This window comes from Homo sapiens, chromosome 19 (genome assembly GCF_000001405.40).
Source record: "Homo sapiens chromosome 19, GRCh38.p14 Primary Assembly".
Taxonomy (NCBI): domain Eukaryota; kingdom Metazoa; phylum Chordata; class Mammalia; order Primates; family Hominidae; genus Homo; species Homo sapiens.
The window spans coordinates 3,894,154-3,915,237 of NC_000019.10; the positions used below are offsets into that span (position 1 = coordinate 3,894,154).

The 21,084-nt window shown below is 51.1% G+C and overlaps 1 protein-coding gene across 2 annotated transcripts in view, besides 1 other annotated feature; it reads left to right on the forward strand.

Annotated features, from left to right (window-relative positions):
* Positions 1 to 21,084, forward strand: part of ATCAY (ATCAY kinesin light chain interacting caytaxin) — a 47,398-nt gene that overhangs the window by 13,469 nt on the left and 12,845 nt on the right. For both annotated transcript variants that reach the window (NM_033064.5, XM_047439578.1), the window contains 7 exons: positions 8,334 to 8,392; positions 11,281 to 11,502; positions 13,581 to 13,766; positions 14,115 to 14,217; positions 15,333 to 15,464; positions 16,650 to 16,736; positions 19,605 to 19,703. In NM_033064.5, the coding sequence (NP_149053.1) occupies positions 8,334 to 8,392; positions 11,281 to 11,502; positions 13,581 to 13,766; positions 14,115 to 14,217; positions 15,333 to 15,464; positions 16,650 to 16,736; positions 19,605 to 19,703 (888 nt within the window). The remainder of the gene's footprint in view (positions 1 to 8,333; positions 8,393 to 11,280; positions 11,503 to 13,580; positions 13,767 to 14,114; positions 14,218 to 15,332; positions 15,465 to 16,649; positions 16,737 to 19,604; positions 19,704 to 21,084) is intronic.
* Positions 18,121 to 18,320: a silencer, noted in NCBI's record as "fragment chr19:3912272-3912471 (GRCh37/hg19 assembly coordinates)". NCBI's record gives its function as "represses an EF-1alpha promoter that drives an FKBP-Casp9 reporter gene in an ReSE screen in K562 erythroleukemia cells {active_cell/tissue: K562}" and the evidence as "EXISTENCE:reporter gene assay evidence [ECO:0000049][PMID:32094911]".

Below are 21,084 nucleotides of genomic sequence, written 5' to 3' on the forward strand. Positions count from 1 at the left end.
ACCAGCCTGCAAGACCCCATCTGCAGAAAAATATAAAAATTAGCTGGGTGGCCGGGCGCGGTGGCTCACGTCTGTAATCCCAGCACTTTGGGAGGCCGAGGCGGGCAGGTCACGAGGTCAGGAGATCGAGACCATCCTGGCTAACACGGTGAAACCCCGTCTCTACTAAAAATACAAAAAATTAGCTGGGCGTGGTGGCAGGCGCCTGTAGTCCCAGCTACTCGGGAGGCTGAGGCAGGAGAATGGCGTGAACCCGGGAGGCGGAGCTTGCAGTGACCTGAGATCGCGCCACTGCACTCCAGCCTGGGTGACAGAGTGAGACTCCGTCTCAAAAAAAAAAAAAAAAAAAAATTAGCTGGACATAGTAGTGTGTGCTGGTAGTCCCAGCTACTTGAGAGGCTGAGGTAGGAGGATTGCTTGAGCCCAAGAATTTGAGACCAGCCTGGGCAACATGGCGAGACCCTGTGTCTGCAAAAAAAAAAAAAAAAAAAAACTGTAAAAACCTGAAAAATTAACCAGGTGTGGCAGCTCACTCCTGTAATCCCATCACTTTAGGAAGCTGAGGCAGGAGAATTGCTTGAAATGTGAAGTTCAAGACCAGCCTAGGCACCACAGTAAGACCCTGTCTCTACAAAAAATTTTATAATTAGCCGGGTGTGGTGGTGCACACCTAGGGTCCCAGCTACTCAGAAGACTGAGACAGGAGGATCCCTTGAGCCCAGGAATTTGAGGCTGCAGTGAGCTATGATTTCACTACTGTGCTCTAGGCTGGGCAACAGAGCAAGACCCTGTCTCAAAAAAAAAAAAAAAAAAAAAAAGCTGCCTCCTCAATGAGGCCTTCCCTGACCACCCCACAGATTTTTTTCTCTCTCTCTCCTCTCCTTTATTTCATTCATTTTCTTTGCCGTAAGCATCACTATCTGCCTTGTTCACTTATTTGCTTATTGTCTTCCTTTATATACATGGTCTCAAGCCAGGAATTGCTTTGCACAATCCTGGGAACCACCAAGTCCAAAATCCACAGGGCAGGCTGGAAACTGTCAGGTAAGAGCTAATGCTGCAGTTTTTGTTTTTGTTTTTGAGACGGAGTCTCACTCTGTCGCCAGGCTGGAGTGCAATGGCACGATCTCAGCTCACTGCAACCTCCGCTTCCTGGGTTCAAGCCATTCTCTTGCCTCAGCCTCCTGAGTAGCTGGGGTTACAGGCATGCACCACCACACCCAGCTAATTTTTGTATTTTTAGTAGAGATGGGGTTTCACCACGTTGGCCAGGCTGGTCTCGAACTCCTGACCTCAGGTGATCTGCCCGCCTCGGCCTCCCAAAGTGCTGGGATTACAGGTGTGAGCCACCGCGCCTGGCCCCCATTTTAGTCATGAGGAAAACAGAGGCTCAGGGAGGAGAAGGCACCACCCAGACTCGTAGCGCTGGATGGAGTGGCAGGGCTGGGAGTTGTGCTCAGACTCTCTGAGACTCTCTTAGGCATTCCCACCCTTTCTCCTGCTTTCCTCACTTTCCCAGTATGTGCAGCTGAGATGCTTTCTTTTTTTCTTTCTTTTCTTTTCTTTTTTTTTTTTTTTTTTGATAGACTCTTGCTCTGTTGCTCAGGCGGGAGTGCAGTGGTGCCAATCACAGCTCACTGCAGCCTCAAACTCCCGGACTCAAACGATCCTCCTGCCTCAGCCTCCTTAGTAGCTGGGATTACAAGTGCATGCCACCATGCCTGGCTAATATGTTGTATTTTTTGTAGAGATGGGGTCTCACTATGTTGCCCAGGCTAGTCTCGAACTCCTAGTCTCAAGAGATCCTCCCACCTCAGCCTGCTGAGTAGCTGGGATCACAGGCATGAGCCATCATGCTGGGCTAATTTTTAAATTTTTAGTAGTGATGGGGTCTTGCTGTGTGGGCCAGGCTTGTCTTCAACTCTTGGGCTTAAGTGATCCTCCCTCCTCAGCCTCCCAAAGTGCTGTGATTACCGGCATGAGCCCCTGCGCCCAGTCTGAGATGCTTTCTACAGCTTCACATTTCAGCTGCAGCCCAGCAGTGGTCCACCTAGTTCACAGCCAATGTAGAATCTGTGTGGACCATCCAATGTTGTGAGGTTGAATCACATCCCTTTTTTTTTTTTTTTCTCGAGACAGAGTCTCACTCTGTCACTCAGGCTGGAGTGCAGTGGCACGGTCTCAGCTCACTGCAACCTCCACCTCCCGGGTTCAAGCGATTCTCTTGCCTCAGCCTCCCGAGTAGCTGAGATTACAGGCACGTGCCACCACACCCAGCTAATTTTGTGTTTTTAGTAGAGACGGGGTTTCACCATGTTGGCCAGGCTGGTCTTGAACTCTTGGCCTCAGATGATCCACCTGCCTCGGCCTCCCAAAGTGCCGGGATTACAGGCATGAGCCCCTGCGCCCGGCCTGAGATGCTTTCTACAGCTTCATATTTCAGCTGCAGCCCAGCAATGGTCCACTCAGTTCACAGCCTACGTAGAGTCTGTGTGGACCGTCCAAGGTTATGAGGCTAAATCACATCTTGAGAATCGAAGGCAGTGCCGGCTGCAAAGCAATGGGGCTTTCCTCTGGCGGGAGGAGATGGTGGCTGGACAGGGACCCTGGCTGGGCAAGTGGTTGTTTGTTTGTTTGTTTTGAGACGGAGTCTCGCTCTGTTGCCCAGGCTGGAGTGCAGTGTCACGATCTCGGCTCACTGCAACCTCCACCTCCCAGGTTCAAGCGATTCTCCTGCCTCAGCCTCACCAATAGCTGGGATTACAGGCGCCCGCCACCATGCCCGGCTAATTTTTGTGTTTTTATTAGAGACAGGGTTTTGCCATGCTGACCAGGCTGGTCTCGAACTCCTGACCTCAGATGATCCACCCGCCTCAGCCTCCCAAAGCGCTGGGATTACTGAGGCATGAGCCACCACGCCCAGCCAGAAATCTAGACTTTTTGCATCTCTTCTTCGACAGCAAATGGAAAATGTTTTTAAATGCTGCATGGGTGGGACATAACTAGGCTTGGTGCATCAGCCATCAGCCTGCAATTTTGCAGCGCTGGTTTGGGTTAACCTTCTGAATGAGCAGGTCAGTTCATTCTTCAGTCCTTTCTTTGAAGTTTGCTATATATATATATATATATAGCAAAATCTATATCTATATCTATATCTATATCTATCTATATCGCCTCGCTCTGTCATCCAGGCTGGAGTGCAGTGGCTCGATCATGGCTCACTGCAGCCTTGACCTCCTGGGCTCAGCTGATCCTCCCACCTTGGCTTCCCAAATAGCTGGGACTACAGGGACACGCCACCATGCCTGGCTTTTTATTTTTTATAGAGATGGAGTCTCGCTGTGTTGCCCAGGCTGATCTCAAACTCCTGGGCTCAAGGGATCCTCCCACCTCAGCCTCCCAAAGTGCTGGGATTACAAGCGTGTGCCACCTCATGCCCAGCCAAAGCTTGCTTTTTAAAAAATTGAGGTGAGGCCAAGTACAGTGGCTCACGCATGTAATCTCAGCACTTTGGGAGGCCGAGGCAGGTGGATCTCCTGAGCTCAGGAGTTCGAGACCAGCCTGGCCAACGTGGTGAAACCCCATCTCTACTAAAAACACAAAAATCAGCTGAGCATGGTGGTGGGCGCCTATAATCACAGCTACTCTGGAGGCTGAGGCACAAGAATCGCCTAAACCCGGGAGATGGAGGTTGCAGTGAGCCAAGATTGTGCCACTGCACTCCAGCCTGGGCAAAAGAGTGAAACTCCGTCTCAAAAATTAAATAAGTAAAATAAAATTTAAAAAATATAAAAAATTGAGGTGGAATTCTCATAACATGAATTCATCATTTTAAAGTTCATGATTCAGTGGCAGAGTCCATTCATAATGTTCTGCAACCCCACATCTATCTAATTTGAAGACATTTTCATCACCGTGAGAGGAAATCCTATCTACTAAGTCAGCCCCATTTTCATCCCTCTCCCCCAACCCCAGTGACCACACATCTACTTCCTGTGAGAATTTACGTGTTCTAAACATCTCTTTTTTTTTTCTTTTCTTTTCTGTTTTGAGCAGGGTGTCACTCTTTCACCTAGGCTGGAGTGCAGTGGTGCAATCATAGCTCACTGCAGCCTCGACCTCCCAAGTTAGAGCAATCCTCCTGCCTCAGCCTCCTGAGTACTTGGAACTAGACGTGTACCACCACACCCAGCTAATTGTTTTGTATTTTTAGTAGAGACGGGCTTTCGCCATGTTGCCCCGACTGGTCTTGAACTCCTGGGCTCAATGAACCCGCCCGCATCAGCCTTTCAAAGTGCTGGGATTACAGGCATAAGCCACCACACTCAGCCAACATTTCATGTAATTGGAATCACACACTGTGTGGCCTTTTGTGTCTGGCATCTCTCACTGAGCATGATGTCCTCAAGGTGCATCCATGCTGTGGTCTGTGTCAGAGCCCTGTTCCTTTTCAGGGCTAAATAGTATTCCATTGAATGGATATACCACATTTGTTGATCCAGTCAGCTGTTAATGGACTGGTGTTGTTTGTTTGTTTGTTTGTTTTTGAGACAGAGTCTCACTCTGTCCCCAGGCTGGAGTGTAGTGGCGTGACTTCAGCTCACTGCAACTTCCACCTCCCAGGTTCAAGTGATCCTCTTGCCTCAGCCTCCCAAGTAGCTAGGATTATAGGCATGCGCCACCATGTCCAGCTAATTTTTGTATTTTTAGTACAGACAGGGTTTCATCGTGTTGGCCAGGATGGTCTCAATCTCTTGGCCTCATGATGTGCCCTCCTCGGCCTCCCAAAGTGCCAGGATGACAGGCGTGAGCCACCGCGCCTGGCCGTCAATGGACTCTTGAATTGTTTCCACTTTTTGGTTTTTATGAATTATGTTCATTCAAGTATGAGTTTTCGTGTGAACAGATGTTTTCATTTCCTTTGGGAATCCGCTCCATTTTGATCTTTGCCATGAACAGGAGGAGGGTGACATCTGATTCCTCCTTTACCTCCAAGCCCCATAGATGCACTGGAGACGCAGTGGTTACGCAAAAACATTTGATGAATAGAGAAAAGAGAGGGAGGGAAAGGGAGAGGGAAAAAGCATAAATAGATTCCGCCCCAAAAAGGTTAACAGCTCATGCCCTAAGTGGAACAGAAATGAGGGAATAAATCTTTTTTTTTTTTTTTTTTTTTTTGAGAGAGAGTCTCACTTTGTTGCCCAGGCTGGAGTGCAATGGCACGATCTCGGCTCACCGCAACCTCCGCCTCCAGGGTTCAAGTGATTCTCCTGCCTCAGCCTCCCCAGTAGCTGAGACTGCAAGCACGCACCACCACGCCCAGATAATTTTTGTATTTTTCAGTAGAGACTGGGTTTCACCATTTTGGCCAGGCTAGTCTTGAACTCCTGACCTCAGGTGATCCGCCCGCCTCGGCCTCCCTAAGTGCCAGGATTACAGGCATGAGCCACCACGCCCGGCCAATAAATCATTTTTTTAAAGGAAAGGAACATGCATTCCACCGCCCTTCCATCTAAACAGCTTGCCTTGCAGCTGAGCCAGGAATGCTGAGTTACAGAGACGAATTAAGCTGTAGCCTGGCTTTCCGGAGTCAGCACGCCCTGCCGCTAGGACCTCTGGCAGCCCCGTGCAAAATGTTCTGCCCGGAATGGAATATTTCCCAGGGTAGCCAAGGAGCCAGTGCTCCTGGGTCAAACTCGGGCAGCACGGGCTGCGGCTTCAAGAAGTGATCTGGGGCCGGGTGCGGTGGCTCATGCTGTAATTCCAGCATTTCTGTCTCAAAAAGAAAGAAAAAGTTGCAAAGTTAGTACAGATAATTCCTGTAGACTGGGAACCTAGTTTCTCCCATAATTAACATCTTATATTAGCTGTGTATATTTTATATTTGTCACAATTGATGAATCAATATTGATACTATTGGTTATTGATAATCAACATTGATCAATAACAATATTGATCAATATTGGTTATTAGTTACCAAAGTCCATGCTTTTTTAGATTTTCAAAGTTTTTCCTAATGTCCTCTTTTTTTTTCTTTTCTCTCTTTTTTTTTTTAAGAGACAGGGTCTCACTCTGTCATCCAGGCTGGGGTGCAGTGGTGCCATCATACCTCACTGCAGCCTCCGCCTCCCAGGCTCAAGCAGTCCTCCCACCTCAGCCTCCAGAGTAGCTGGGACTACAGGCACCACCACGTCCAGCTAATCTTTGTAATTTTTGTAGAGACAGAGTTACGCCATGTTGCCCAGGCTGGCCTAATGTCCTTTTCCTTCTGCCCCACAACCCCATCCAGGATCCCAGATGACATTTAGTTATCACATCTCCTGACACTCCTCTGGACTGTGGCAGTCTCCCTGTCTTTCTTGTTTTGATGCCCTTGATAGTTTTGTTTGTTTGTTTGTTTTGAGATGGAGTCTCACTCTGTCACCCAGGCTGGAGAGCAGTGGCACGATCTCGGCTCACTGCAACCTCCGCCTCCCGGGTTCAAGCGATTCTCCTGCCTCAGCCTCCTGATAGCTGGGATTACAGGTGTCCTCCACCATGCCTGCCTAATTTTTGTATTTTTAGTAGAGATGGCGTTTCACCATGTTGTCCAGGCTGGTCTCGAATTCCTGAGCTCAAGTGATCCTCCTGCCTCAGCCTCCCAAAGTGCTGGGATTACAGGCGTGAGCTGCTGCGCCTGGCCCATCCTGTATTTTTTGGAATGACATCACTATACACAGCCTACACAGAGTTATCCTTCATCTTTTTTTTTTTTTTTTTTTTTTTTGAGACAGAGTCTTGCTCTGTGGCCCAGGCTGGAGTGCAGTGGCACGATCTCGGCTCACTGCAAGCTCCGCCTCCTGGGTTCATGCCATTCTCCTGCCTCAGCCTCCTGAGTAGCTGGGACTACAGGCACCTGCCACCACGCCCCGCTATTTTTTTTGTACTTTTAGTAGAGACGGGGTTTCACCATGTTAGCCAGGATGGTCTCGATCTCCTGACCTCGTGATCCGCACGCCTCGGCCTCCCAAAGTGCTGGGATTACAGGCGTGAGCCACCGCACCCGGCCTATCCTTCATCTTCTTGAGGGCAGAACTGTACATAAACTATTTCCAATTCTTCTGCACAAGAAATGTGTCTCTTCTCTCCTGTTTATTTGTTCAGTGACTTATTTATATCCGTATGGACTCATAGACATTTATTTTACATCTTGGGTTATAATTCAATATTTCATTATTTATTTGGTTGCACAAACTGTTCCAGCATTGACATAGAGATCTCTTCTGGTTGACTCAGGTTTTTGTGGGGGTTTTATCTATTTATTTATTTTTAATACTTTTTGCTGCATTTGAGAGTCAACAACTCATCAGAGACCAAATCCCACAGGGTCGCCCTAGAGAGAATTCAACTTACTAACTTATTTCAAAGTTTTTGAAGTCATGTGATGCTGGGGAAAAACCTTCATTCTCCTCAAGCCGTGCAAAAATCTCCAAAAGGCTTAATATAAATTTGATTATCTAAAAGAAGCCCTTCAGCCCTGATGCGTTATAATTTTCTTCCTCTGCTAAAGAAAAAACATGCTGGGCGGGCGCGGTGGCTCATGCCTGTAATCCCAGCACTTTGAGAGGCCGAGGTGGGCAGATCACAAGGTCAGGAGTTCCAGACCAGCCTGGCCAATATGGTGAAACCCCGTCTCTACTAAAAATACAAAAATTAGCCGGGCATGGTAGCGGGCACCTGTAGTCCCAGTTTACTTAGGAGGCTGAGGCAGAAGAATGGCCTGAACCCGGGAGGCGGAGGTTGCCGTGAGCCGAGATCATGCCACTCTACTCCATCCAGCCTGGGCGACAGAGCGAGACTCTGTCTCAAAAGAAAAAAATAAAAGAAAAAGAAAAAACATGCGCTTGTGGTGGCTCACGCCCGTAATCCCAACACTTTGGGAGGCTGAGGTGGGAAGATGGCTTGAGCCCAGGAGTTCAAGAGCAACCTGGGCAACATAGTGAGACCCCATCTCTACAAAAAACCAAAAAACTACAAAAATTAGCCAGCCGTGGTGGTGTGCACCTGTAGTCCCAGCTACTCAGGAGGCTGAGGCAGGAGGATCTCTTGAGCCCAGGAGGTTGAGGCTGCAGTGAGCCATGATCACGCTACTGCACTCCAGCCTGGGCGATACAGTGAGGCTCTGTCTCCAAAAAAATGTATATATTTAGGTCCAGTGATTCTCCAGAACTAAATGTGTTTTGCTTTTGTTCTTGTCTGACTCGCCTGGCTGGACCTGTCTGGGCCACTCCACTGTCCTCTGCCTGAATCTCTGGTGCCCGGCGACTGATGCCTGTTCCTGGATGGGTCCGCAGGCCACTCCCAGAAGAGACGGGGGTGGAACTGCTTGGCAGCCCGGTGGAAGACACATCCTGTAAGTTTCCACGTCCACAGAAGGGCGGAAACAGGCTCAGTGTTTCCGGGTTTCAGCCCTGCCTGGGGCTGTAACTGTAGAAATGTCAGAGGCCACACACCGTGGGTAGAATGTTCTGTCCTGGGGTCTATGGTGGAAGTGGCCGTGGTGGGTGAGAGACACAATGGATGATGGCGCTCTCATGAAGCCAGCACGCTGTGTTGCTGTGTGTCCCTGTGCTAGTCACTCAGCCTCTCTGTGCCCCAATGCCTCATCTACTAAATGTAGGTAGCGAGCTTCTCGCAGAGGGGGCATGTAAGGATTAAATGAGGTGATGCCAAATGCCCTGGAGGCACAAAGTCAGCACAGCCAAGGGTGCACTGGGAGGCTCTGCTATCTGGAGCTCTAAACATATACATTTTAATGTGTAATACCTTATATTAGACCCAAATATATACATTTTTTGGGAGACCGGGTCACACTCTGTCATCCAGGCTGGAGTGCAGTGGCGTGATCATGGCTCACTGCAGCCTCAACCTCCAGGGCTCAAGAGATCCTCCTGCCTCAGCCTTCTGAGTAGCTGGGACTACAGGTGCACACCACCATGGCTGGCTAATTTTGGTAGTTTTTGTAGAAATGGGATCTAGCTATGTTGCCCAGGCTGCTCTTGAACTCCTGGGCTCAAGCCATCTTCTTGCCTCAGCCTCCCAAAGTGCTGGGATTACGGGCGTGAGCCACCACGCCTGGCATGTTTTTTCTTCAGCAGAGGAAAAAAATCATAATGTATCAGGCTCTGAAGCCCCAGATCCCGGGGATGGGAGTCCTGGGCGGCCAGAGGAGAGTTTTAGCCGTAACCTGGCGATTGCAACGTGCCTCCGGAGGCAGGGAAAGGGCCCAGGTTGGCACCGTGGGGAGAGGTGGGGTCTGGGGAGGACCTGGCAGCCAGCCCCACTTAACGACATTCAGTTAAGCAGAATATGGAAAATAAACCTGTGAGGGCCAAACAAAATTTTTTTGGAGACAGAGCCTCACTGTATCGCCCAGGCTGGAGTGCAGTAGCGTGATCATGGCTCACTGCAGCCTCAACCTCCTGGGCTCAAGAGATCCTCCTGCCTCAGCCTCCTGAGTAGCTGGGACTACAGGTACACACCACCATGGCTGGTTAATTTTTGTAGTTTTTTGTAGAGATGGGGTCTCACTATGTTGCCCAGGCTGCTCTTGAACTCCTGGGCTCAAGCCATCTTCCCACCTTGGCCTCCCAAAGTGTTGGGATTACGGGCGTGAGCCACTGCACCCGGCCGCCTGTCTCTATTTAAAAAGAAAAAAAAAAAAGGCAGGTCACCGTGGCTCACGCCTGTAATCCCAGCACTTTGGGAGGCCGAGGCGGGCAGATCACGAGGTCAGGAGTTTGAGACCAACCTGGCCAACATGGTGAAGCCCCGTCTCTACTAAAGATACAAAAAAAAAAAAAAAAAAAAATTAGCCGGGCATTGTGGCACTTGCCTGTAATCCCAGTCACTCAGGAGGCTGAGGCATGAGGATCGCTTGAACCCAGGAGACGGAGGTTGCAGCAAGCTGAGATTGTGCCATTGCACTCCAGCCTGGGTGACAAGGCGAGACTCTGTCTAAACAAAACAAAACAAAAAAAGATTAGTCGGGCTTGGTGGCGCATGCCTGTAATCCCAGCTACTTGGGAGGCTGAGGTGGGAGAATCACTTGAACCTGGGAGGCGGAGGTTGCAGTGAGCTGAGATCCTACCATTGTACTCCAGCCTGGGTAACGGAGTGAGACTCCATCTCAAAAAAATAAATACATAAATAAAACAAAATAAATTAGCAGACTTTGGATTAAAGCAGGCAGCCATCTGTGATGTGGGTGGGCCTCATCTAATCAGTTGAAGGTTTTAAGAGAAACAGACTGAGGTTCCCCCAGGCAGAGACAATTCTGCCTGCGGACGGTTTTGCAACATCAACTCTTCCCTAGGCGTCCCGCCTGCTGGCCTGCCCTGCCGATTGAGGACTTGTCAGTCTCTGTGATCACACGAGCTAATTCCTTAAAATAAATTTCTCCCTCTCTCTTTTTTTCCATACATATAGGAAAAAAATATGTATACACACACACACACACACACACACGTCCTATTGGATTTGTTTCCCTGGAGCACTCTGATTAAAATAGGAGACTATCCTGGATCCTGTATTATCCAGGTGGCCTGACATCGTTACAGGATCCTCATGAGTGGAGACAGGAGGGTGAGAGTCAGAGAAAGCCTAGAAGAAGATGGGCTGCTTTCACAATTTGTCTGCACAAGAGATATGTCTCTTCTCCTTTATTTATTTATTTATTTATTTTTGAGATAGAGTTTCACTCTGTCACCCAGGCTGGAGTGCAATGGTACGATCTTGGCTCACTGTAACCTCCGCCTCCTGGGCTCAAGTGATTCTCCTGCCTCAGACTCCCAAGCAGCTGGGATTACAGGCGCCACCACTGTGCCCGGCTAATTTTTATATTTTTAGTAGAGATGGGGTTTCGCCATGTTGGCCAGGCTGGTCTCGAACTCCTGACCTCAGGTGATCTGCCCGCCTCGGCCTCCAAAGTGCTGGGATTACAGGCGTGAGCCACCGCACCCGGCCCAAAGTCAGGCTTTGAACTCATGTCTGCCCAATGTCCAAGCATCCATCCCCTTAATCTCTGAGGCTTGCCCACAGGACAGAGGTTATAACATTCACCCCTGTCAGGATGATGTCGGTTTAATTCTGCCCACCCCCGCCAATGGCATGGATACAGAAGGGAGCCCACCCTCTCTTCCCATTCCTGCATGATGAAACAGCTTCCACCAGGTAGGAAAATGGGGGGAAGGTAAAAGAGAGAAAGCAAAGATGTTTTCCATTTTTCTCATTTCCCTGCAGCTCCTCCCAACACGCTAAATTTCAACGGAGCGCATCGTAAGAGGAAGACGCTGGTGGCCCCAGAGATCAACATTTCTCTGGATCAGAGTGAGGGGTCCCTGCTGTCCGATGACTTCTTGGATACCCCTGATGACCTGGATATTAACGTGGATGACATCGAGACCCCCGATGAGACCGACTCGCTGGAGTTCCTGGGGAATGGCAACGAACTGGAGTGGGAAGGTAAAGTTCAGGGTCTCTCTGGGGCCTGCTGGAGCCCACCCCCCCCACCCCACCTTTCCGTCTCTGGATTCCCATAGGCTCAGAGAGTCACAAGTGGGGCAGGGGCTCTAAGCAGTCTAGCCTTAAACCCAGGAGATCAAGACTGCAGTGAGACGTGATCATGCCACTGCACTCCAGCCTGGACAACAGAGTGAGACCCTGTCTCAAAAATAAAATTTTTAAAAAAGAGAGAGGTGGCTGGGCGCAGTGGCTCATGCCTGTAATCCTAGCACTTTGGGAGGCCGAGGCGGGCAGATCACGAGGTCAGGAGATCGAGACCATCCTGGCTGACACAGTGAAACCCCGTCTCTACTAAAATACAAAAAATTAGCCAGGCATGGTGGCGGGCACCTGAAGTCCCAGCTACTCAGGAGGCTGAGGCAGGAGAACGGTGTGAACCCAGGAGGCCGAGCTTGCGGTGAGCCAAGATTGTGCCACTGCACTCCAGCCTGGGCGACAGAGCGAGACTCCGTCTCAAAAAAAAAAAAAAAGAGAGAGAGAGGTTGGTGAATGGGTACCAACATACAGTTAGACAGAAGGAATAAGTTCTATTGTTCGATAGCAGAATAGGAGGGGTGCCAGGAGGAGGGTCCATCCGCTCCTGCGACTGTTTTTTTTTTTTTTTTGAGACAGAGTCTCACTCTGTTGCCCAGGCTGGAGTGCAGTGGTGTGATCTCAGCTCACTGCATCCTCCACCTCCCGGGTTCAAGCGATTCTTTTGCCTCAGCCTCCCGAGTAGCTGGGATTACAGGCATGCACTACCACTTCCGGCTGATGTTTATATTTTTAGTAGAGATGGGGTTTTCCCATGTTGCCCAGGCTGGTCTCAAACTCCTGACTTCAAGTGATACACCCACCTCGGCCTCCCAAAGTGCTGGGATCACAGGTGTGAGCCACGGCGCCCAGCCTGCCCCTGCAATTTGATGCATATTTTTCTTGTGGGCTTGTGAATTTTTCTGCAGAACGTGGCTTTCATCAGAATCTCAAAGGCGACCAAGATCCCAACAAACTGCCCTCGATGTATGCAACAAATACTTTTTGACCATTTACTCCAGGGCAAGTCCTGATTCAGGCGTGGGGTATATGGCAGGGCTATGATAAGAAGAGATGGTCCTGGTCCCTACCTGCACACACAGATCATCAGAAAGACAGACCACGAAAGGCCAGGCGCAGTGACTCACGCCTGTAATCCCAGCACTTTGGGAGGCTGAGGTGGGCAGATCACCTGAGGTCAGGAGTTTGAGACCAGCCTGGCCAACATGGTGAAGCTCCATCTCTACTAAAAATACAGAAATTAGCCGGGCATGGTGGCGTGCGTAGTCCCAGCTACTCGGGAGGCTGAGGCAGGAGAATCGCTTGAACTCTGGAGGCAGAGGCTGCAGTGAGCAGAGATCGCACCACTCCACTCCAGCCTGGGCGATGGAACAAGACTCTCTCAAAAAAAAAAAAGAAAGAAAAAAAAAAATTAAGGACAATGTAGTGGCTCATTCCTGTAATCCCAGAGCTTCGGGAGGCCAGGGTAGGAGGATCGCTTAAGGCCAGGAGTTTGAGACCAGCCTGGGCAACATATTGAAACCCCATCTCTACAAAAATATAAAAATTAGCTGGGTGTGGTGGTGCACAACTGTAGTCCCAGGTATCTGGGAGGCTGAGGCAGGAGGACTGCTCTCTGTGTGCCAGGCTCCTGGGAGAGTAAAAACCAAGCATGCATGCCCCGAGTATCCTCGTGGTTTGATGAAGCAGATGCATTCACCAGCTCTGAGAAGCTCCAGGACACAGGTCCTTAACCAACAGAGTGCCCTGGGAGGCCAGCAAAGGGAATGTCCAGAAAGGCTTCCTGGAGGAGGCGGCATTTGAGCCAGGCCTTGAAAGGGGAGTAGGAGAGGAAAATGGGTCAGCAGGGCAGCCAGGTGGGGAGAAGCGAAGGACTTGTGGGTCCCGGCAGCGAGGGAGGTGGGAGAGGGGAAGGAAGGCTGAGCAGGAGGGCAGGAGATATCCGGACTCTGGCGTCCATGCGACTCTCCGCCACCTGCTTCTAGACGACACCCCCGTGGCCACCGCCAAGAACATGCCCGGGGACAGCGCGGATCTATTTGGGGACGGCACGACGGAGGACGGCAGCGCCGCCAACGGGCGCCTGTGGCGGACAGTGATCATCGGGGAGCAAGAGCACCGTATAGACCTGCACATGATCCGGCCTTACATGAAAGTGGTCACCCACGGAGGTGAGACCCGCCCCCCGGTGCCCCCTTGGGGCTCCAGCCCGGCCCACTGGGCAACAGGGGGTTCGTCAGTGCCCCTCTCTGATGCACGGGGATGTTAAGCCGTCAACTCGCTTCGGGTGGACGGACTGTGGGCAAGGCGTGCATGGTCAGGGAGGCGCACTGGGGGCCCCTGATGGTCGCTGTCACTCCTCAGCGAAGGCAGAGACTGGCTAAGGGGTCGCCGGCTGCTGTGGCTCGGAGCCATGCCCTCCCGAGCGTGTGGGCACCGGGACGTGGTGGGTGGTGCGCGGGAGGCAGCTCAGGGCTGGGAGAGGACTCTGACGTTGCCGATCGGCTGCCTCTCCTCAGGGTACTACGGCGAAGGCCTCAACGCCATCATCGTCTTCGCAGCCTGCTTCCTTCCAGACAGCAGCCTCCCCGACTACCACTACATCATGGAGAACCTCTTCCTGTGAGTCCCCGCCCGCGGCGAGCAGCCTCGGGCCAGCTCTGATGCCTCCCTGGCCACAGGGGCACCAGGCTGCAAGGATTGCATTGTGGCCCTAGGAAGCCTGCCTGGCACCAGGGAAGGGCGTGGTGGCCACAGACCTTGATCTGAGTCCCTGCTGGCCCTGAGGCTCACAGTGGCCTTCCCTCTGGGCCACCCTGTTCTCCTCCCCGTCCTCCTCCTCCTCCTCTTCCTCCTCCTTCCCCTCCTCCTCACTGTCCTCCTCCTCCTCCCCTTCTTCCTCCCCCTTCCCCTTTCTTCTCCTCCTTCTCCTCCCCTTCTTCCTCCCCCCTCCTCCTCCCTTTTCTCCTCCTCCTCCCCTTCCCTCTCCTCCTCCCCCTCTTCCCCTTCCCTCTCCTCCTCCCCCCTCTTCCTTCTCCTCCTCTTCCTCCCCTTTCTCCACCTCATCCTCTTTCTCTTCCTCCCCTTTCTCCCCCCTTCCTCCTCCTTCTCCTCCTTCCCTCATCTTCCTCTCCTTCCCTCTCCTCCCCCTCCCCATCCTCCTCCTCCCCATCCTCTTCCCCTTCCTCCTCCTCTTCCCGCTCTGAGATGGCACCACTGCACTCCAGCCTGGGTGACAGAGTGAGAACCTGTCTCAAAAAAAAAAAAAAAAAAAAAAAGCAAGGCCTAGAGACCAGCCTGGCCAACATAGTGAAATCCTGCCTCTACTAAAACTACAATTTAGCTGGGCTCGGTGGCAGGCGCCTGTAATCCCAGCTACTAGGGAGGCTGTGGCAGGAGAATGGCGTGAACCTGGGAGGCGGAGCTTGCAGTGAGCCGAGATCGCACCACTGCACTCTAGCCTGGGCAACAGAGCGAGATTCCGTCTCAAAAAAAAAAAACGACTCAATAAAAGAGTAACTGCCCTATGAGGATGCCCGCTGACACTCATGTGGAGTGTGCTGGGATCATCCACGTCCTCTCCCACCCTGCAGTCCGCCAGGACAGCAGACAACACCTGGACCAGTGGGGCTGACCCAGCCAGCGGCAGGAGTGGAGGCAGGCAGGGTCGGCACCGCAGGTGTCCTGACCCTGGACCCCTCCATGTTGGGTCCCTGCCTTCTGTGCCCCGTGAGCAGGTACGTCATCAGCAGCTTAGAGCTCCTGGTGGCTGAGGACTACATGATCGTGTACCTGAACGGTGCCACGCCCCGGCGGAGGATGCCTGGAATCGGCTGGCTGAAGAAGTGCTACCAGATGATCGACCGGAGGTGAGGTGGGGATGCCTCAGGAAGCACAGTGGGGGCATGAAAATCACACAGGGGGCTGGACATGGTGGCTCACACCTGGAATCCCAGCACTTCGGGAGGCTGAGGTGGGAAGGTCCCTTGAGCCCAGGAGTTTGAGACCAGCCTGGGCAACGCAGCAAGACGCTGTCTCTACAGAAAAACTTTTAGGCCGGGCAAGGGGGCTCACACCTCTAATCCCAGCACTTTGGGAGGCCAAGGTGGGTGGATCACCTGAGGTCAGGAGTTCAAGACCAGCCCGGCCAACATATAGTGAAACCCCATCTCTACTAAAAAAATTCAAAAATTAGCTGGGCGTGGTGGCGCATGCCTGTAGTCCCAGCTACTTGGGAAGCTGAGGCAGGAGAATCACTTGAACCCAGGAGGTGGAGGTTGCAGTGAGCCGAGATCATGCCACTGCACTTCAGCCTGGGCAACAGAGCGAGACTCTGTCCCCATGAAACACTCACTCCCTATTCCTTCTCCCCAGGCTCCGGCACCCCCCATCCTACTTTCTGTCTCTGTAAATCTGATGACTCTAGGGACCTCCTAGGACTGGAATCACACAGGATTTGTCCTTTTGTGTCTGGCTTTCCTCACTGAGTGTGATGTCCTCAGGGTGCATCCACATTGTAGCCTGTGTCAGAGCCTCCTTCCTTTTCATGGCTGCATAATATTCCACTGTATGGACATACCACATTTGGTTTGTCCATTCCATTCATCTCTTGATGGACATGGGTTGCTTCCACCCCTGAGTTATTGTAAATAGCCTCAGAGTGACATTAAAATTGAGCCAGCCAATCCATCCTTGCACCCAGGTTAGTGGAGGGAGGCTCCAAGGACAGGCTGGTCCCTCCTAGGGCATTAGGTGGTGAAAATACAATCTTGGCTGCTCAAATAACTACCAACCTGGTTCACCTGCTCTGCACCATGGGGTCTCTACCTACCTCATCCACCTGAGGGTCTTAGGGACTCAAAGGGTGTGTCTTTATCCCACCATAGGACCCCCATGTCTTGGATGGGGGCAGGGATTTGACAGGTACCTGGAGACCACACGTGGAATGAGCAGAGTGACGAATGCTTGCTTGTGGCTCTCCCGTCCCACCCAGCTCCTCCCTCCCCAGGGCTCGCCCCAGGAGCCCATCTTGCTTCCTTTGCGGCCCCACACAGGTTGCGGAAAAACCTGAAGTCCTTGATCATCGTCCACCCCTCGTGGTTCATTCGGACTGTGCTGGCCATCTCTCGCCCTTTCATCAGGTGAGACGGGGAGGCTGCAACCCAAGTCCAGTGGCCTCAGTGTGCGTGTGTGCGTGTGTGTATGCATGCATTTGTGTGTGCATGTGTGCACGTGTGTGCGTGTGTGCATCTGTGTGTGTGTGCATCCATGTGTGTGTTTGATGTGCATGTTCCAGCTTCTCTATGATGAATACATATTATTGCTTTAAACAGTTTTAAATTGCACACAGCCAGGCACAGTGGCTGACACCTGTAATCCCAGCTACTCAGAAGGCTGAGGTGGGAGGATCGTTTGAGGCCAGCCTGAGCAACATAGCAAAACCCCCATCTCTACAAAAAATACAAAAATTAGCAGGACGTGGTGGTGCACACCTGTAGTTTCAGCTACTTGGGAGGCTCACGTGGGAGGATGGCTTGAGCCCAGGAGATCAAGGCTGCAATGAGCCGTGATCGAGCCACTGTACTCCAGCCTGGATGACAGAGTGAGACCCTGTCTCAAAAGAAAATCAGTCATGCATGGCATCACATGCCTGTAGTCCCAGCTACTCAGGAGGCTGAGGCAGGAGGATCACTTGAGCCCAGGAGGTAGAGGCTGCAGTGAGCTATGATCACTCCACTGCACTCCAGCCTGGGAGACAGAGCAAAACAACCCTGTCTCTAAAAATAAAATATATATATATGTATGTATAAATAAATAAATAATATGACTAATAAATTTAAAATTTAAAACTACATATATTCTATAATGTATATCATATATAGTTACTATATTAAACATATAGTAAAACAGATCAAGTGAAATAAAATTAGGCATGTTAAATGCCCTATTCAATCCAATAAAATGTCATGCAAATTTAATTTAATCTAATGCAAAACATTGAATTGAATAAAGATTCCTAATGTTCACGTTCCCAGTTACAAATCTGGGATGAGCGAAAGAGACGAGGGCTTCACTTTCCCTTGAACAACAGGACACATTCACAGCAGGCCCGATTTTCAAGGAAGACTCTTTAAACATGCTGTTTTCAAGGACTGCTAAGTACCCTGAAGGGGCTTATTTGCATATTAGCGAAATGAGATGAGGAATACACTAATTATGGATCATTTTAGCTAATAATGAATCAACAGGCAAAACGGTAAACACGCATTTCAGTCTAAGATAATTGCATTTGCTCCTCTATATTCCAGAATTCAGTAACATAGACTACCTTTGCCTTTAATGTAGATATTAGGATGGTGCAAAAATAATTGAGGTTCTTGCCATATTTTCATTACAAAAACTGCAATCACTCTTGCACGAACCCAATAATTCTGTCACTCTTCACCGGTCGCCATGGCTCACACCTGTAATCCCAACACTTTGGAAGGTCGAGATGAGAGGATCGCTTGAGCCCGGGAGTTCGAGACCAGCCTGGGTGACATAGCGAGACCCTGTCTCTACAAAAAAAAATTTTTTTTTTTTTCAGACGGAGTCTCACTCTGTCGCCCAGGCTGGAGTGCAGTGGCGCGATCTCAGCTCACTGCAAGCTCCGCCTCCCGGGTTCACGCTATTCTGCCTCAGCCTCCCGAGCAGCTGGGACTACAGGCGCCCGCCACCAGGCCCAGCTAACTTTTTGTATTTTTAGTAGAGATGGGGTTTCATCGTGTTAGCCAGGATGGTCTCGATCTCCTGACTTCGTGATCCGCCTGCCTTGGCCTCCCAAAGTGAAAAAAATTTTTTTTTAAATACGGCCAGGTGTGGTGACCCAGGCTTGTAATCCCAGCACTTTGGGAGACCGAGGCAGGAGGATCGCTTGAGGCCAGGAGTTGAAGACCAGTCTGGGCAACATAGCAAGACCTCCATCTCTACAAAAAAAAATTTTTTTTAATTAGCCAGGCCTGGTGGCGCGCACCTGTGATCCCAGCTACTCAGAGGCTGAGGGAGGAGGATCACTTGAGCCCAGGAGGTCGAGGCTGTAGTGAGCCATGATTACACCACTGCACTCCAGCCTGGGTGACAGAGTGAGACTCTGTCTCTTAAAAAAAAAATACCATGAAGTGCTGGTGATGAAACACCACATGGTATCAGATGGCCAGAATTCAGGATTGGAAGGGAAAGAAGGGAAAGAACCATTCATCCCTGAAAAACAGAGAATTGGGCCAGGCAGGGTAGCTCATGACTGTAATCCCAGCACTTTGGGAGTTAGAGGCAGGCAGATCACATGAGGTCAGGAGTTGGAGACTAGCCTGGCCAACATGATGAAACCCCATCTCCATTAAAAATACAAAATTAGCCGAGAGTGGTGGTGCATGCCTGTAGTCCCAGCTACTCGGGAGGCTGAGGCAGGGAAAATCGCTTGAACCGGGGAGGCGGAGGTGGCAGTGAGCCGAGATCACACCACTGCACTCCAGCCTGGGTGAAGAGCAAGACTCTGTGTCAAAAAATAACAATAACAGAGAATCAATGGGCAGCCCCGTGTGCCCCCTTCTTGTGCCCAGCTGAGTGTTGGCTGTGCCGTCCTGTGCGGTGACATGGAGAGAAAGCATCCCTGGGAAAAATTAACACAGAGGAGCAACTTTTAGAGATGATGGGAAAACAGCCTGTAGAGTCTAAGACAATCTCCCCACCTCCTGACTTCCTTCCAACAAGATCCTCATTGCAGGGACCCATGTCAGGTGCATGGCCCTGCTTGCAAGGGCCTCGGCGCAGACCCGGGGTCTCCACTCCATGCATGGGGTGCAAGATAATTAAGGCTGTCATCGGGCGGGAGGGAGGTGTCGTCGTCTGCACTGGGGCATCCTGGAGTGGGGTCCTGTGGGGATCCCTGTCGCCATGGCTCTGTCTGGACCTAGGTAACCCCCACCCCATGGGTTGCATTTCAGACCTCTCCCTCCTTCTCCCCCCGCCAGCGTCAAGTTCATCAACAAGATCCAGTACGTGCACAGCTTGGAAGACCTGGAGCAACTCATCCCTATGGAACACGTCCAGATCCCAGACTGCGTCCTGCAGTGAGTGGCCCCACAGTCCACCCCGCCGTATTAGTCTGTTTTCGTGCTGCTGATAAAGACACACCTGAGACAGGGCAATTTACAAAAGAGGTTTAAGGGGCCGGGCGCGGTGGCTCCTGCCTGTAATCCCAGCACTTTGGGAGGCTGAGGCGGGCGGATCACGAGGTCAGGGGATCGAGACCATCCTGGCTAACATGGTGAAACCCCGTCTCTACTAAAAATACAAAAAATTAGCCGGGCGTGGTGGCGGGCGCCTGTAGTCCCAGCTACTCAGGAGGCTGAGGCAGGAGAATGGCGTGAACCCCGGAGGCGGAGGTTGCAGTAAGCTGAGATCGCGCCACTGCACTCCAGCCTGGGCCACAGAGCGAGACTCCATCGCAAAAAAAAAAAAAAAGGGCTAACGGACTCACAATTCCATGTGGCTGGCAACGCCTCCCAATCACGGTGGAAGGCAAAAGGCACGTCTCCCATGGCGGCAGAGAAGAGAAGGAAATTTGTACAGGCAAATTCCCCTTTATAAAACCATCAGATCTCATGAGACTTACTCACTGTCGCGAGAATAGCACAGGAAAGACCTGCCCCCATGATTCAGTGACCTCCCACCAGGTCACTCCCACAACAGGAGGGAATTATGGGAGCTACAATTCAAGATGAGATTTGGGTGAAGAGACCAGGCAAGGTGGCTCACACCTATAATCCCAGCACTGTAATCCCAGCATTTTGAGAGGCTGAGACAGGCAGATCACTTGAGGTCAGGAGTTCGAGACTAGCCTGGCCAAGATGGTGAAACCCTGTCTCTCCTAAAAATACAAAAATTAGCCAGGTGTGGTGGTGCATGCCTGTAATCCCAGATACTGAGGAGGCTGAGGCAGGAGAATCGCTTGAACCTGGGAGGCAGAGGTTGTGGTGAGCCGAGATCGCACCACTGCACTCCAGCCTGGGCAACAAGAGTGAAACTCCGTCTCAAGAAAAAAAAAAAAAGATTTGGGTGGAGATACAGTCAAACCCTGTCACCCCCAACACCCCCCCACCGGGTCCCCCTGGCTACCAGGAGCCAGCAATGAGGGGAAACGCAGACTTGGAAGGGAGGAACTAGAACCCACCCATTTTATTTCCTGGAGCCCCTCAGGGACCCCCCGGAGCTTGGGGAAGGGATGGGCAGCTTCAAGTCCTGTTGTTTTTCACTGAATGTCATATCATCGGCACCTCCCCTAGGTTCATGCTGCAAAAATCTCCTTAAACGTACATTTTTTTATTGTGGTAAAATACACGTAACATAGAACTTCCCATCTTAGCCATTCCTTTTTTAATTTTATTTATTTATTTATTTTTTGAGAAGGAGTTTCACTCTTGTTGCCCAGGCTGGAGTGCAATGGCGCCA